Source organism: Homo sapiens, chromosome 12, assembly GCF_000001405.40.
Source record: "Homo sapiens chromosome 12, GRCh38.p14 Primary Assembly".
Lineage (NCBI taxonomy): Eukaryota > Metazoa > Chordata > Mammalia > Primates > Hominidae > Homo > Homo sapiens.
The window spans coordinates 117,272,764-117,286,591 of NC_000012.12; the positions used below are offsets into that span (position 1 = coordinate 117,272,764).

Below are 13,828 nucleotides of genomic sequence, written 5' to 3' on the forward strand. Positions count from 1 at the left end.
GCTTCGGATGGATATTCAGGCCTGGAAACTACTGCCTTAGGCTGCTGTTTCTCTCTCAAACCCACCCTGAAAGTGAGTCCAGGAGAAAGTGTGGGGACCTCTCTCCCCCTTCCCCGACTGAGCACCCTCCTACCCTCAGGGCCTTTGCACAGGCAGCCAAACTTCAGAGCCAAACTCTGTCACCCAAACTTCTTCTTTCTTTCTTTTTTTTGGGGGGTAGGGGAATGCAGTCTCGCTCTGTCATGCAGGCTTCCTCCTGGGACCTTCTCCCTTCCTTCTGTGCTTCCAGCTCTTACTCATACTTTAATTGTCAGCTAAAATCATGCTTATTCTGGAAAGCCTTCCCTGAGGCCCAGCTGGTCAGGGGATTTCATCCTAGGCACCATACATTTCCTTTGCAGCACTTTATTAAAATTAAGTGGTTATTTGAGTAATTATGTGTGTAAGAACTTCTCTTCCTTGAGATCATAAGCACCGTGGGGGCAGGGATTGAGTCAGCTCCAAAAGCTAGCACAATGCCTGGCATGCATGGGGAACTGTGTTGGATGAGCCAATAAATGAATGAATAAATATAGGCTACATTTCACCAAGGAACTGGGTGAGTTCCCAGATATCAGGCAGTGTCAGGAGCCTCAGGACACCGGCTCCCTCTCCAAGGCTGGGACTAGGGTGAGGCAGGTGTGGCACTATCCTTGGGTGTAAAATTTAAGTGGGGGGAGCTATTAGGTTGATGCAAAAGTAGCTGTGGTTTTGCAATTACTTTTGCACCAACTGAATAGTTTCCCCCTCTTAAGTTTACTTTTGCCATTAAAAGTAATGGCAAAAACCACAGTTACTTTTTGCATCAACCTAATAAAAACCCAATAATTAGGATCAATGCTATTATTTATTTATACAATATTTTAAAGAAACATTTAAAAAATCAAAATTTATGTATATATATGATGAACAATAATGTAGGATTCCACCCTACACTTGTATGACACCTCGTTCATCTGACCCTAATCTCAGTCCTGAGCTGGATCCTATCTTTATTGAAAATGTTGATATATTGTTCATCATGTGCTGTTTTTTAAAAAAATTAACTTTGAGACCAGAAACTATAAAACTACTAGAAGAAAACATCAGGGAAATTGGTCTGGGAAAAGATTTTATGAATAAGACCTCAAAAGCCCAGGCAACAAAAGCAAAAATAAACACACAGGATTATATTAAACTAACAAACGTCTGCAGAGCAAAGAAACAAGCAACAGAGTGAAAAGACAACCTAAAGAATGGGGGAAAATATCTGAAAACTATTCATCCACCAAGGGATTAATATCCAGAATATACAAGGAACTCACACATTTCAAAAGCAAAAAACCCAAACAATTGGATTAAAAAATGGGCACTTGCTCTGAACAGACATTTCTCCAAAGAAGATAGATAACCAACAAATACAGGAAGAAATGCTCAGCTTCACTCAACATCAGGGATATGCAAACGAAACCCACAATAAGATAACATTTCATCACAGTTAGGACGGCAATTATAAAGAGACAAAAAATAACAAATGCTGGCAAGGTTGCAGAGAAAAGGGAACTCTCATACACTGTTGGTGGGAATATAGGCTAGTACCGGAGTATGCAGAACGGTATGGCAGATCCTCAAAAAACTGCAAATAGAACTACCACGAGATCCAGCAATCCCACCAGTGGGCATTTATCCAAAGGAAAGGAAATCAGGCTGGGCGCAGTGGTTCACACCTGTAATCCTAGCACTTTAGGAGGCCGAGGCAGGTGGATCATTTGAGGTCAGGGGTTCAAGACCAGCCTGACCAACATGGTGAAACCCCGTCTCTACTAAAAATACAAAAACTTAGCTGGGCGTGGTGGTTCGTGCCTGTAATCCCAGCTACTTGGGAGGCTGAGGCAGGAGAATGGCTTGAACCTGGGAGGTGGAGGTTGCAGTGAGCCAAGATGGCGCTACTGCACTCCAGCCTGGGCTGGAGTGACACTCCGTCTCACAAAAAAAAAAAAAAAAAAAAAAGAAAGGACATTAACATGTCAAAGTGATACCTACAACCCTGTGTTTATTGAAGCACTATTCACAGTAGCCAAGATATGGAATCAACCTAGGTGTCTAACAACGGATGAATGGATAAAGAAATGTGTGATATTTTATATATACTGTGTGATATAAAGAAAATGTGTGATATGTTATATATACTGACTACAGTCAATAATAACACAATTGTATATTTCAAAATAACTTAAAGAGTGTAATTTAATTGTTTGTAACTCAAAGGATAAATGTTTGAGGGGATAAATACCCCATTCTCCATGATGTGCTTATTTCACATTGCATGCCCATATCAAAACGTCTTATGTACCGCATAAATATATACACACATATATATATACACCTACTATCTACCCACAAAAATTAAAAGTAATAATTAAAAAAAAACTCTACCAGGTCTGGTGTGGATCAAGTTCAAAAGAAATTTGGAGTCATGAACTCCAAATTAATTCTCTCTCTCTCTCTCTCCCCACACTGGAATACCATTCAGCCATAAAAAAGAATGAAACCATGTCACTCACAGCAACATAGATAGAACTGGAGGACGTTATGTTAAGTGAAATGAACCAGGAACTGAAAGTTAAACACTGAATATTCTCACTCATAGGTAGAAGCTACAAAAAAAGTTGATCTCATGGAAGTAAAAAGTGGAACAGAGGATGCTGGAGGCTGGGAGGAGGAGGGAGAAGGGAGAATGGGGAGTGATTTGTTAAAGGATACAAAATTATAGCTAGAAAGGAATAAGTTGTACTGTTCTACACCACTGTAGGATGACTATAGTTAACATTAATATACATTTTCAAATAGCTAGAAGAAAGGATAGTGAATGTTTCCAATACAAAGGATAAGCGTTTGAGACAATGGGTGTATTAATTATACTGATCTGATCACTATACATTATATGTATTAAAACATCATTATATATCTCATGAATATATGCACTTATTAGACATCAATTAGAAAAATAAAATGAAACATTAATTTTGATTTAAAAAATATTGCATTCTTATATTTATCTTATTATCGAGTGTGTTAGCAACTCCCCTTGATTTTATTCATTCCCAGGTTTGAGTCTAGTGCCTCACGGTGGATGTCCTTTACTCTCAAAGGGCAAATGCTGTTTGTGTTGCTGGCCCGAGACCTTGCAGCAACTTCATGACTCCAAATTCCTTTTGAACTTGATCCACACCAGGTTCTGTAGAGTTTTTTAATTATTATCTTTAATTTTTGTGGGTACATAGTAGGTGCATGTACTTATGGGGTACATGAAATGTTTTGATACAGGCCTGTAATGTGAAATAAGCACATCATGGAGAATGGGGTATCCATCCCCTCAAGCAGTTATCCTTCGAGTTACAAAGAATCCAATTCCACTGTTTATTTTAAAACATACAATTATGTTATTATTGACTATAGTCACCCTGTTGTGCTATCAAATAATAGGTTGTATTCATTCTTTCTAACTATTTTTTTTTTGAGATGGGGTCTTGCTCTGTTGCCCAGGCTGGAGTGCACTGGCACAACTTGGGCTCACTGCAACCTCTGCTTCCCAGGTTCAGGTGATTCTCCTGCCTCAGCATCCCAAGTAGCTGGGATTACAGGCATGTGCCACCATGCCCAGGGAATTTTTGTATTTTTAGTAGAGATAGGGTTTTGCCATGTTGGCCAGGCTGGCCTTGAACTCTTGACCTCAGGTGATCCTTCTGCTTCGGCCTCCCAAAGTGCTGGAATTACAGGCGTGAGCCACCATGCCTCTATTTCTTTCTTCTACCTCTTAACCGCCCCCATCTTCCCCTCACCCCCTCCACTACCCCTTCCCAGCCTCTGGTAACCATCCTTCTACTCTTTATGCCCATGAGCTCTATTGTTTTCATTTTTAGATCCTACAAATAACTAAGAACATGTGATGTTTGTCTTTCTCTGACTGCCTTATTTCACTTAACATAATGATCTCCAGTTCCATCCATGTTGTTACAAATGACTGGATCTCATTCTTTTTTGCAGCTGTATAGTACTTCATTGTGTATCTGTGCCACATTTTCTTTATCTATTCATCTGTTGATGGACACTTAAGTTGCTTCCTTAGCGTTGCAGCTATTGTAAACAGTGCTGCAACAAACAAAAGGGTACAGATATCTCTTCGATATACTGATTTCCCTTCTTTTGGGTATATACCCAGCAGTGGGATTGCTGGATCATATGGTAGCTCAATTTTTAGTTTTTTGAGGATCTCCAAACTCTTCTCCATAGTGGTTGTACTAATTTACATTGCCACCAACAGTGTACAAGGGTTCCCTTTTCTCTACATCTTCACCAGCGTTTGTTATTGCCTGTCTTTCGGATAAGCCATTGTAACTGAGGTGAGATGCTATCTCATTGTGGTTTTGATTTGCATTTCAATTGAGAGAACTGTTTACAACTCTATCTTGATCATCAGATCCTATAGAGTTTTAAACAGTTCTCTCAATTGAAAATGTGGGTCAGGTACAGTGGCTCATGCCTGTAATGCCAGCACTTTGGGAGGCTGAGGTGGGAGGATCACTTGAGCCCAGGAGTCCAAGACCAGCCTGGACAATATGGCAAAACCCCGTCTCTACTAAAAACACAAAAATTGGCCAAGCATGGTGGTGTGTGGCTGTAACCCTATAATCCCAGCTACTTGCAGGGGTTGAGGTGGGAGGATCACTTGAGCCCAGCAGGTCGAGGCTGCAATGAGTCATGTTTGTGCCACTGCACTCCAGCCTGGGCAACAGCAGCAGACCCTGTCTCAAAAAAAAGAAAGAAAAAGAAAAAGAAAAAGGAACAGGAAAATAAAAAGTGTGCTCGCAACAAGAAAGTATGGTGCTTCTGCTCTTTCAATGCTTAGGGCTGGAAGAAGGGCAGGTCCTTGTTAATGGCTTAGGAGTGAGATGATTCAGAAAAGGTGGTGGTCCCCAGGCTGGTCAAAGAGGTCTTTTTGCTCCTTGAGGGAACTCACTCTGCCCAAGCCCGCAGTGAGGACAGGAACCAAGCCCCCCTTTCCCCTTTCAGCTTCGGTCTGGACTAGAAAGAAAGCCAGGGGGGATGGGGCTGGGCAAAGAGGGGCACTGGGCAAACCCACTCACCCTCTCCCACCCCTTGCCAGTCCCTCTTACTTGGGGTGCCTGATGGGAACTTCCAACACCAGCTCTGGAGGAATCTGGAAGAGCTCAGGGTCATTGCCGTTGGCCTGAAGCAGGAGCGGCAGGACATCGAAGCGGCCTCTAGGCGGTTTCCAGCCCTGCTGTATGCATATCTGCAAGCAGACCCGGCCAGGTAATGCCACTGTACCCCACACCCTACAAACACAACCCTTATGTGGGAAGCGGGGGTGGGGTGGATAGAGATCCAAATGCAAGCCCCCAGGAGACATTTCCTCTGGAGGCTCTTGGACCACATCACCTGCTTTATAGAGTTCTCCCTGACATCACCATGTATTAGGTTGGTGCAAAAGTAATTGCGGGTTTTGCCATTACTTTCAATAGCAAAAACCACAATTATTTTTGCACTAACCTAGTAACTAGCATGAGTTCTCATGGGCCCACAGGACAGAGGGCAAACCCTTCCTCTAGTACTGAGCTTTGTTTTCCAGGTCTTCCCTGCCCACTGGAATTCCCAGAGGGCAAGGGCTGAACCTGACTAACAAGTGCATCTGCAGGCTGCCAGCTCTGTGTTTGTAATAATATAAGGTATTGTAAGATACAAAGAAAATCTGCTGAATTTGATGAAGGCAGATGTATTAGAATTACAGTATAAAATGCATTTGTTAGAGCAGCTGTCCAATAAAAATATAATGCAAGCCACCTAAGTAATTAAAACTTTCTAGTAGCCACATTAGAAAAAAAAAACAACTGGTGAAAATAATTTTGATTTTATCTTTTTTTTGCTAGGCTTCTTCAAATCATGGGAGAAAATAATATTAATAATATACTCATCTTAAAGTTCAATAATGTCCTTGATATTAATATTAATTTATTAATAGTATATTAAATATTACTATCATATATTCTAATTATATATTTGACATTAAAATTAAATATGTAACACTTATTCATCTAATATATCAAATAATACATTAAATATCAACATTAATTTATTAATAATAAATTATCAATATGAGTGTATTTAAATAATATATTTAACATTAAAAATAAAAATATACTTATTAATCCAGTGAATCTATTAATTTGTTAATAAATATATTACCCTAATGTATCCATATTATTACTATTTCAACATTAAAAATGATCAATGGGCCGGGCGCGGTGGCTCACGCCTGTAATCCCAGCACTTTGGGAGGCAGAGGTGGGCGGATCATGAGGTCAGGATATTGAGAGCATCCTGGCCAACATGGTGAAACCCTATCTCTACTAAAATACAAAAAATTAGCCGGGCGTGGTGGTGCGCATCTGTAGTCCCAGCTACTCAGGAGGCAGAGGCAGGGGAATTGCTTGAACTCAGAGTTGCAGTGAGCTGAGATTGCACCACTGCACTCCAGCCTGGCAACAGAGTGAGACTCCATCTCAAAAAACAAAAAAAAAACCAAAAAAAACAAACCAAGATCAATGAGTTATTTCCCTCTCTTTTTTGGACCCAGACTTCGAGATCCAGTGTATATTTTCTCTTATGGCACATCTCAACTGGGACTGGCCACATTTCAAGTGATCAATAGCCACATGTGTCCCTATTAGACAGGGCAGGGTTAGAGGGTTTCAAAAGGTAAAATTGCATGGTTAGGTTTGGAATGATTCTTTGTGCTTAGTAAAAAGAGGAAACACCAAATCATGGAACAGGAGAACATGTCCCGCTCAGCAAGGTTTCCAGAGATGGAGCGAGAGGAAGAGGTTGGGGCATTTATGTTCTGGTGACCACGAGGACAAGGTCAGCCAAGTACACACAGTTAGTGCTCAGCCAAGTGGAGCAGGGAGTCTGAGCCTGGCTGCTTCTAAAACAGCACAGGTGCAGCTCCTGGTTGCCCTGGTTACAGTCCCCTCCTCATGAGAATAACATTTTCATAAGAAAAGCCACATGCAAATGAAGTCGGCAGCCAGGAGGGAGTGGAGCAGCCCTTAGCCTTGCCAGCTACATCTTCAAGGAGGTACCACCCGGGAGGGGCTTGAGCAAAGGACGACGGTGAAATTCAGCGGGGTATTATTTGGGTGATAAAGGAAAGGTGGTAGCAGGCCTGTGTGCCTGAGATCATTCTAGACACGGGATGTGCTTGTGCTGTCATGTGGGCATGGTCCGTATAAGCTACCATATCTTACCTGTGCTACCTGCCCGCACTACCACCTGGAAGGAACTCTGGGCAGGGAGATGGTGGTAGTCACTTTCCTGGTGGCTTTTATGAATTGACTTGGGCTACCAGTAACTGTAGTGATGCTGGTGACAGACAAAGTCAAGCCTACTCAAAGGCTTGGGTGGCTCAAATTGTTGTATCAACAAATGAAGGAATGAAATGAAACTGACATTATCTCGTAACTCAGAAAAGGTGGATGCCAGATATGGCTTCCATTTCTCGGCTCTTCCCTTCCTGGTGAGAGGCAGGAGATTTGGACTGTAGTTCTAGCTTTTCTTCTCTACTCATTTGGCAGTCTTGAGTAACTCACTTGGCCTTGGTGAGACTCGGTCTACCCATCTGTGAAATGGGAGAACAGTTCCCATCAGGAGGGCTGAGTGAGGTAATGGCATGAAAGTGACCAAATGTCCAGCTGTAAAAGAATTAGATTGGGGAACAGCCTGATGGAGAAGCAGGTTTGGAGAAGAGTAAATGACCCCATCAGCGGATCTCCTGTGATGATAGCATTAAGCCCGAAAAAGTCTGTGGTCTGGGGACATAAGAGCCCATGTTGGGGCAGGGTAGGGGGCGGAAACGCTCGCACCTCTGTGAACTGCACATTGGCTGGGTCCCCCAGGGTGGAGCCGTCAGGCTGCTTGTAGCCAGCGTAGCGGATGAGCTGGGAGTTCCAGACTCGGAAGTCGTGCTTGCCGTCTGTCCTCTGGGGGAATATGGTGATGGCAGACCTGTGGTGGAGAGAGGGGAACACCCGGCATCAGGGCGGGACTTGCGCTGTGGGAACATACTAAACATGGCGCCACCCAGGGCGACAGCTGCTTGAGGCTCAGGGTAGATTACCTCCGTGCCAAGGTCCCCAGGGCCAATGGAGCAGCGGTCGGAAGGGATGGGCCGTGCTCTGTTCCTCCACCAGAACTATGGTGTGAGGAAAACGGTGGAGGGGGTGGGAGCTCCCATGCCACCATGCTGAAGGAAAGAATCTCTTTCTAGCTGGAGACTTTTAAATAATATTGACTTGAGCCAGTCTTCCAAAGAGTTCTTTTGCAGCCAGTCATTTCCACGGAAACATCAGACCTTGTTTCCCTTTAAGAATGCACTAGACGCCGGGCGCGGTGGCTCATGCCTATAATCCCAGCACTTTGGGAGGCCGAGGCGGGTGGATCAGGAAGTCAGGTGTTTGAGACCAGCCTGGCCAACACAGTGAAACCCCGTCTCTACAAAAATACAAAAAGTCAGCTGGGTGTGGTGGCGCACGCCTGTAATCCCAGCTACTTGGGAGGCTGAGGCAGAAGAATCGCTTGAACCTGGGAGGCAGAGGTTTCAGTAAGCCAAGATCACACCACTGCACTCCAGCCTGGGCGACAGAGCGAGACTCCATCTCAAAAAAAAAAAAAAAAAAAAAGGAATGCACTACAGGCCAGGCATGGTGGCTCATGCCTATAATCCCAGCACTTTGGGAGGCCAAGGCAGGCGGATCACGAGGACAAGAGATGGAGACCATCCTGGCACACATGGTGAAACCCTGTCTCTACTAAAAATACAAAAATTAGCTGGCTGTGGTGGGGGGTGCCTGTAGTCCCAGCTACTCGGGAGGCTGAGGAGAATCGCTTGAACTCGGGAGGTAGAGGTTGCAGTGAGCCGGGATCACACCACTGCACTCCAGCCTGGCAACAGAGCAAGACTCCCATCTCAAAAAAAGAAAAAAAAAAAAAAAAGAATGCACTACAGAATCCCGATTCCAGTCTTCTTCCAGCCATCATTAATTTTATCCACTTTGCCCACCCTCCTTACCAAACCAAAGTTTATAGACTTATCATTAAAAAGCAATCAGCTTGCATTTGTATTCACATTTATTTATTTAAAAGAAAATTGCAGGTCACCAGCCATTGGCTTTGCCTGCCTAAATAGGCAACAGTGAAGGCTGTATTCTTTTATTAATTGTGGAAAGATGTTGTCTGCTGAAGGTCCTAGCTGGAGCCCTGGTCTCTATGTTAAAAGGGAGATCAGCAAGTATTAGGTGTTAACAATATCTTAGCACCAAACTGAGCCTTTCTCCTCAACATCATCATCAGGATTGGAAAAAAAAAAAAGGAAAGGAAAATAACTTTTTCACGATGTAGTTCAATGTCATCTCACAGCAGGAGCTCTTGCCAGCTGGATTCGCTGGCCCCCCATCCCAGGCTATGGAAACATGGTCCTGGCTTCTTGTGTCAACAAAAAGATGGCATCTCGGGTCCAACTCCTTGCTTATAGATCTCTTCTCACATATACATTTCTGTCCAGAACTGTGTCCCTGCTGATCCCCTTGGCTGGAATCCCCCTCTTCCATTTTATGTCCAAGTTCAAGACCTGATTCAAATCTGCTTCCTCCATACAGCAACCCCTGTCTCATCTAGTTTCATAGAGCCTTCTTTCTGAGCACGGTTTTTAGGTCTTGCTCTCTACACAAGACAACGTAGCATGTAATTCTGCTGGGGTGATGCATCACAGCTGAGGGTGAGTCTAGAATCCAGGCTGGAGGCCAAAATCACATAGAGGCAAAGATGCTCTTAAAGATCTCTTAACAGAGGCGCCATCTTGGAGATGAACACGGAGTGAGTCAAACAGTTTTCCCTCCAGCACTAAAACACATTGCTGTTTCTCTGGTTGAACATCCGATAAAGGGTGTTTGTGTAATGTGTATATTTTAAAAGTGTGTTTAGAAACACTAGAATCACACACAGTGAGTGGGGTGTGATGCCTACTCTATGTGCAGAAACTGAGACCAACAGAGGAACCAGAACACACATCTATACCTGTACTCTCCTGCTTCCCTCAGCACAGTGTAAACCTGCATCTCTCCCTCTCTTCTTCTCTCTGCTGTCCTTCCCCTCTATGCACAGATTATTCCTATAACATTATATATATATATATATATATTTTTTTTTTTTTTTTTGAGACAGTCTCACTCTGTCACTCAGGCTGGAGTGTGGAGTGCAGTGGTGCAACCTCGGCTCACTGCAACCTCCACCTCCTGCGTTCAAGCAATCCTCCCACCTCAGCCTCCCAAGTAGCTGGGACTACAGGCACACTCCAGCACGTCCTACTAATTTTTTGCATTTTCTGTAGAGATGGGGTTTCACCATATTGCCCAGGCTGGTCTCAAACTCTTGAGCTCAAGTGATCCATTCACCTTGGCCTCCCACCTTGCTGGGATTTCGGGCGTGAGCCACAGCGCCCAGCTGCATGGTATACATTCTTATACAGTTCTCATCGCTTTCAGACATGAGGGTTAAAAACTATAGAAAGAAAAAGAATCTGCTGAATGTTTTCTTTAATAGAAGATCTCACAAAGACCCCTTAATACAGCAGTGAAAAAAGTGGAGGTGCACTGCTGGGACTGGGGTGACCCATACTCAGAGCCTGCTCAGAGCCCCATTTGAAAACTACCAGAAGAGACTAGGCGTGGTGGCTCACACCTGTGATCCCAGCACTTTGGGAGGCCGAGGCAGGTAGATAGCTGAGGTCAGGAGTTTGAAACTAGCCTGGCCAACATGGTGAAACCCTGTCTCTACTAAAAATACAAAAATTAGCTGGGCATGGTGGTGTGTACCTGTAATCCCAGATACTCGGGAGGCTGAGGCAGGAAAATTGTTTGAACCTGGGAGGTGGAGGTTGCAGTGAGCCAAGATTGTGCCACTGTACTTCAACCTGGGTAACAGAGCAAGACTCTGTCTCAAAAAAAAAAAAAAAAAAAAAAAGGAAATCCACCAGAAGAGCCCATAAACTCTTTGAGGGCCTAATCTCGACCAGGTCCGGATACACAAGAGGGTTCTTTAATATTCTTTAAGGGGTGAGGTCTCTTGGAAAAGAGTTGTCTTGGGAAAGACACCTAAATACCAATTCCTCATGCAGGCCCAGGCTTAGATTACAGGCCGTTTTCTTACTGGTGGACTCAGAAAATTGGCAAACACCATTTCCTTCTTACGGAAGAGAAGAGACACATCTAAGAAAACCCATGTTTCATGCAAAGAAGCCACTTTTGGATGAACTCAGTGAAGCCCGGGCGCTTGTGGGAATATCTCTGCAGTGATCCTGTGTGGCTCCAAGATGGGGCTAGTGCTCAGTGGCTGGGAACAGATGCCGTGGCAGCAGTGAGCGGGCAGAGTCAACAAGTGTAGCCGGCTGTCTGTGGGGCCCCAGCTGTTCATTTCCACCTGTCCCTCTCCCAGCTGAGACTTGCCAGCGTGGCCGCCACCAGCCACATGGATGTCTGCCTGCCTCGGCCTGCTCCCTGTGGCTTTGTTCTTTGTATTGGTGAAGACGAGTCCAAGGCATGGCTTGGCTGGGTGGAACCTGAAGGAGCAGTTCCCATTGTATCAGCAAGAGAAACTGCCTTTTAAACCAAGGGAGATTTGGTTTGGTTTGTCTCCAGGCGACAGAGCAAGACACAGTAAAAGCAGGTCACCACCAGCAATAGGATTTTCTGATTCCTGGGAATCTCAACTATTTGTTCCTGTCCTCTCCAGGAAAGATACTGAACTGTGGGTTGAACGTGATGTTTGCTGCTGTAGTTTTGCAAACCACACAGGAATCCACTTGTCCCAGAAAAGAAGGAAAATGGGATGGTGTATGGAATAAAGATGCCGGGGCTGGGCGTGGTGGCTCATGCCTGTAATCCCAGCATTTTGGGAGGCCGAGGCGGGTGGAGCACTTGAGGTCAGGAGTTTGAGACCAGCATGGTCAACATCATGAAAGCCCGTTTCTACTAAAAATAAAAAAAATTAGCTGGGTGTGGTGGCGGGTGCTTGGGTCCCAGCTACTCGGTAGGCTGAGGCAGGAGAATCGCTTGAACCTGGGAGGCAGAGGTTGCAGTGAGCCGAGATCATGCCACTGTACTCCAGCCTGGGCGACAGAGCAAGACTCTGTCTCAAAAAAAAAAATAAATAAATAAAATAAAATAAAAAATAAAAAAAAAAGATGCCAGGACACCTCTCCCAGCTTGGCCCGTGTCCCTGAGATGAGGTGCATTTCCCTGGCAGGTGAGCTGACTCCAGAGTCAAAGTACAATGCTGTGGGGACTTTTGACCTCCTGCTCCCCAGTGCCCAGCTGGTCAGCTCACCTGAGGTTCCCTTTGTTGGTGGCATACTTGACATGGTTACAGATGTAGTTGAACATCCCGTGGGCCGTGGTGCAGTCACGGGCATCGAATACCTGGAAGAGGCACAGGGCGGAACTGATTGCCTCTTCTTTCCCTCCCCAGCTCCCCCAGCGCAATCTTCCCATTTTAGGAGAACCCAGATCCCACTCCAGCTGCTGCTACATTGGTGAAGTGGGCACCTCATTACTGAGTCCCAGGCTGCATTTTATATTTTCTCTTTTCTATCCTAATAACCAAGGCCAATTTGACCAGAAAAAAAAAAAAAATCGCCTAAAAGTAGGCACGGCATGAAAGTGAATGTGGGAAAGGAATGGCAAATGAAGGAGGGGGTTTAGATGGGCTGGTTACATTTTCTGTTAGGTTACTAGGGATTAGGGATTAAAAAACAGAACAAAAATCAAACAAAACCCCCCTGATCTTGATAACAAATCTACTTCCAACTTTAAACTATTTCCTAAAATAAAATCGTAACCAAGGGACACAGAAACTAATGCCTTCAGGGAGTAGGCAGATAAATAGGCTAAGTAGATGCAAGACAAAAGGGAGTGGTGAGGTCTGCGGTCAACTGAAAAGTATAAGCCCTCCCTTCCAAGAGATATGCAAGTTCATTTTTGCAAAAGCACTGTGTTGGCTAAATAAGACATGATTATCATCTAGAGCTGGCTGTGATCTTGGAATGTGGGACCCCGTGACCATCATCTGATAGGTCACCATGGCTACCAGGTACCCTTGGTAGAAGCTTATCCTTTTTAAAGCTCCATCCACTCCCCTTCCCCTCTTCCCTCATTTAAGGGCTCTTCAAGGTATCTGACTTCACCACCTACCTGCAGCTTGGACCACTGGATCCTGCCCACACAGCGCGAGGCATTCCGCCAGGCGTGCTTGGCCCCATAGATGAGCTCTGTGTCCTTGAGCTGGTAAGTGCTAGTGGTGTCGATCTCTTTGTTCACCTCTTCCAGCCTTTCCATGTGGGCTTTGGAGCCAAATCTGAGTGAAGAGGAAGGGACATGGGAACATCACCCCCTCTTCTGAATTAGAAGTTAGTGGAAGGGGAGAGCTATTCCAAGAGGCTGGAAGCTACAAAAAATTCCAAGTTGATTTCTGGATGCAACAGTTTGATTTCTGGATGCAAGATAAAGCAGACACTGTAAACTCAAATGGCCACAAAGGCTGAACATTGTAGATATAAGTCAACCAGCTGGGTGGGGACTGTGGCAAACAAGTGAGCCAGGCCTTGTCCAAAGCGGGCAGCCACGGCTCCACTCCTGTCAGTTGTCACCTGACAGGAGTGGGGACCCAGGACTGCTAAATC

At 44.7% G+C, this 13,828-nt stretch overlaps 1 protein-coding gene across 4 annotated transcripts in view, besides 1 other annotated feature; it reads right to left on the reverse strand.

Moving 5' to 3' along the window:
• The window catches only part of NOS1 (nitric oxide synthase 1), a 153,485-nt gene that overhangs the window by 64,622 nt on the left and 75,035 nt on the right, over positions 1–13,828 (reverse strand). For all 4 annotated transcript variants that reach the window (NM_000620.5, NM_001204218.2, NM_001204214.2 and 1 more), the window contains 4 exons: positions 13,341–13,503; positions 12,478–12,569; positions 7,962–8,103; positions 5,196–5,335 (listed from right to left, as the gene is read on the reverse strand). In NM_000620.5, coding sequence (NP_000611.1) covers positions 5,196–5,335; positions 7,962–8,103; positions 12,478–12,569; positions 13,341–13,503 — 537 coding nt within the window. The remainder of the gene's footprint in view (positions 1–5,195; positions 5,336–7,961; positions 8,104–12,477; positions 12,570–13,340; positions 13,504–13,828) is intronic.
• Positions 8,373–8,872: an enhancer, noted in NCBI's record as "H3K27ac hESC enhancer chr12:117718941-117719440 (GRCh37/hg19 assembly coordinates)". NCBI's record gives its function as "activates a minimal SCP1, AML or CMV promoter by ChIP-STARR-seq in naive H9 embryonic stem cells {active_cell/tissue: H9 hESC(naive)}" and the evidence as "EXISTENCE:reporter gene assay evidence [ECO:0000049][PMID:30033119]".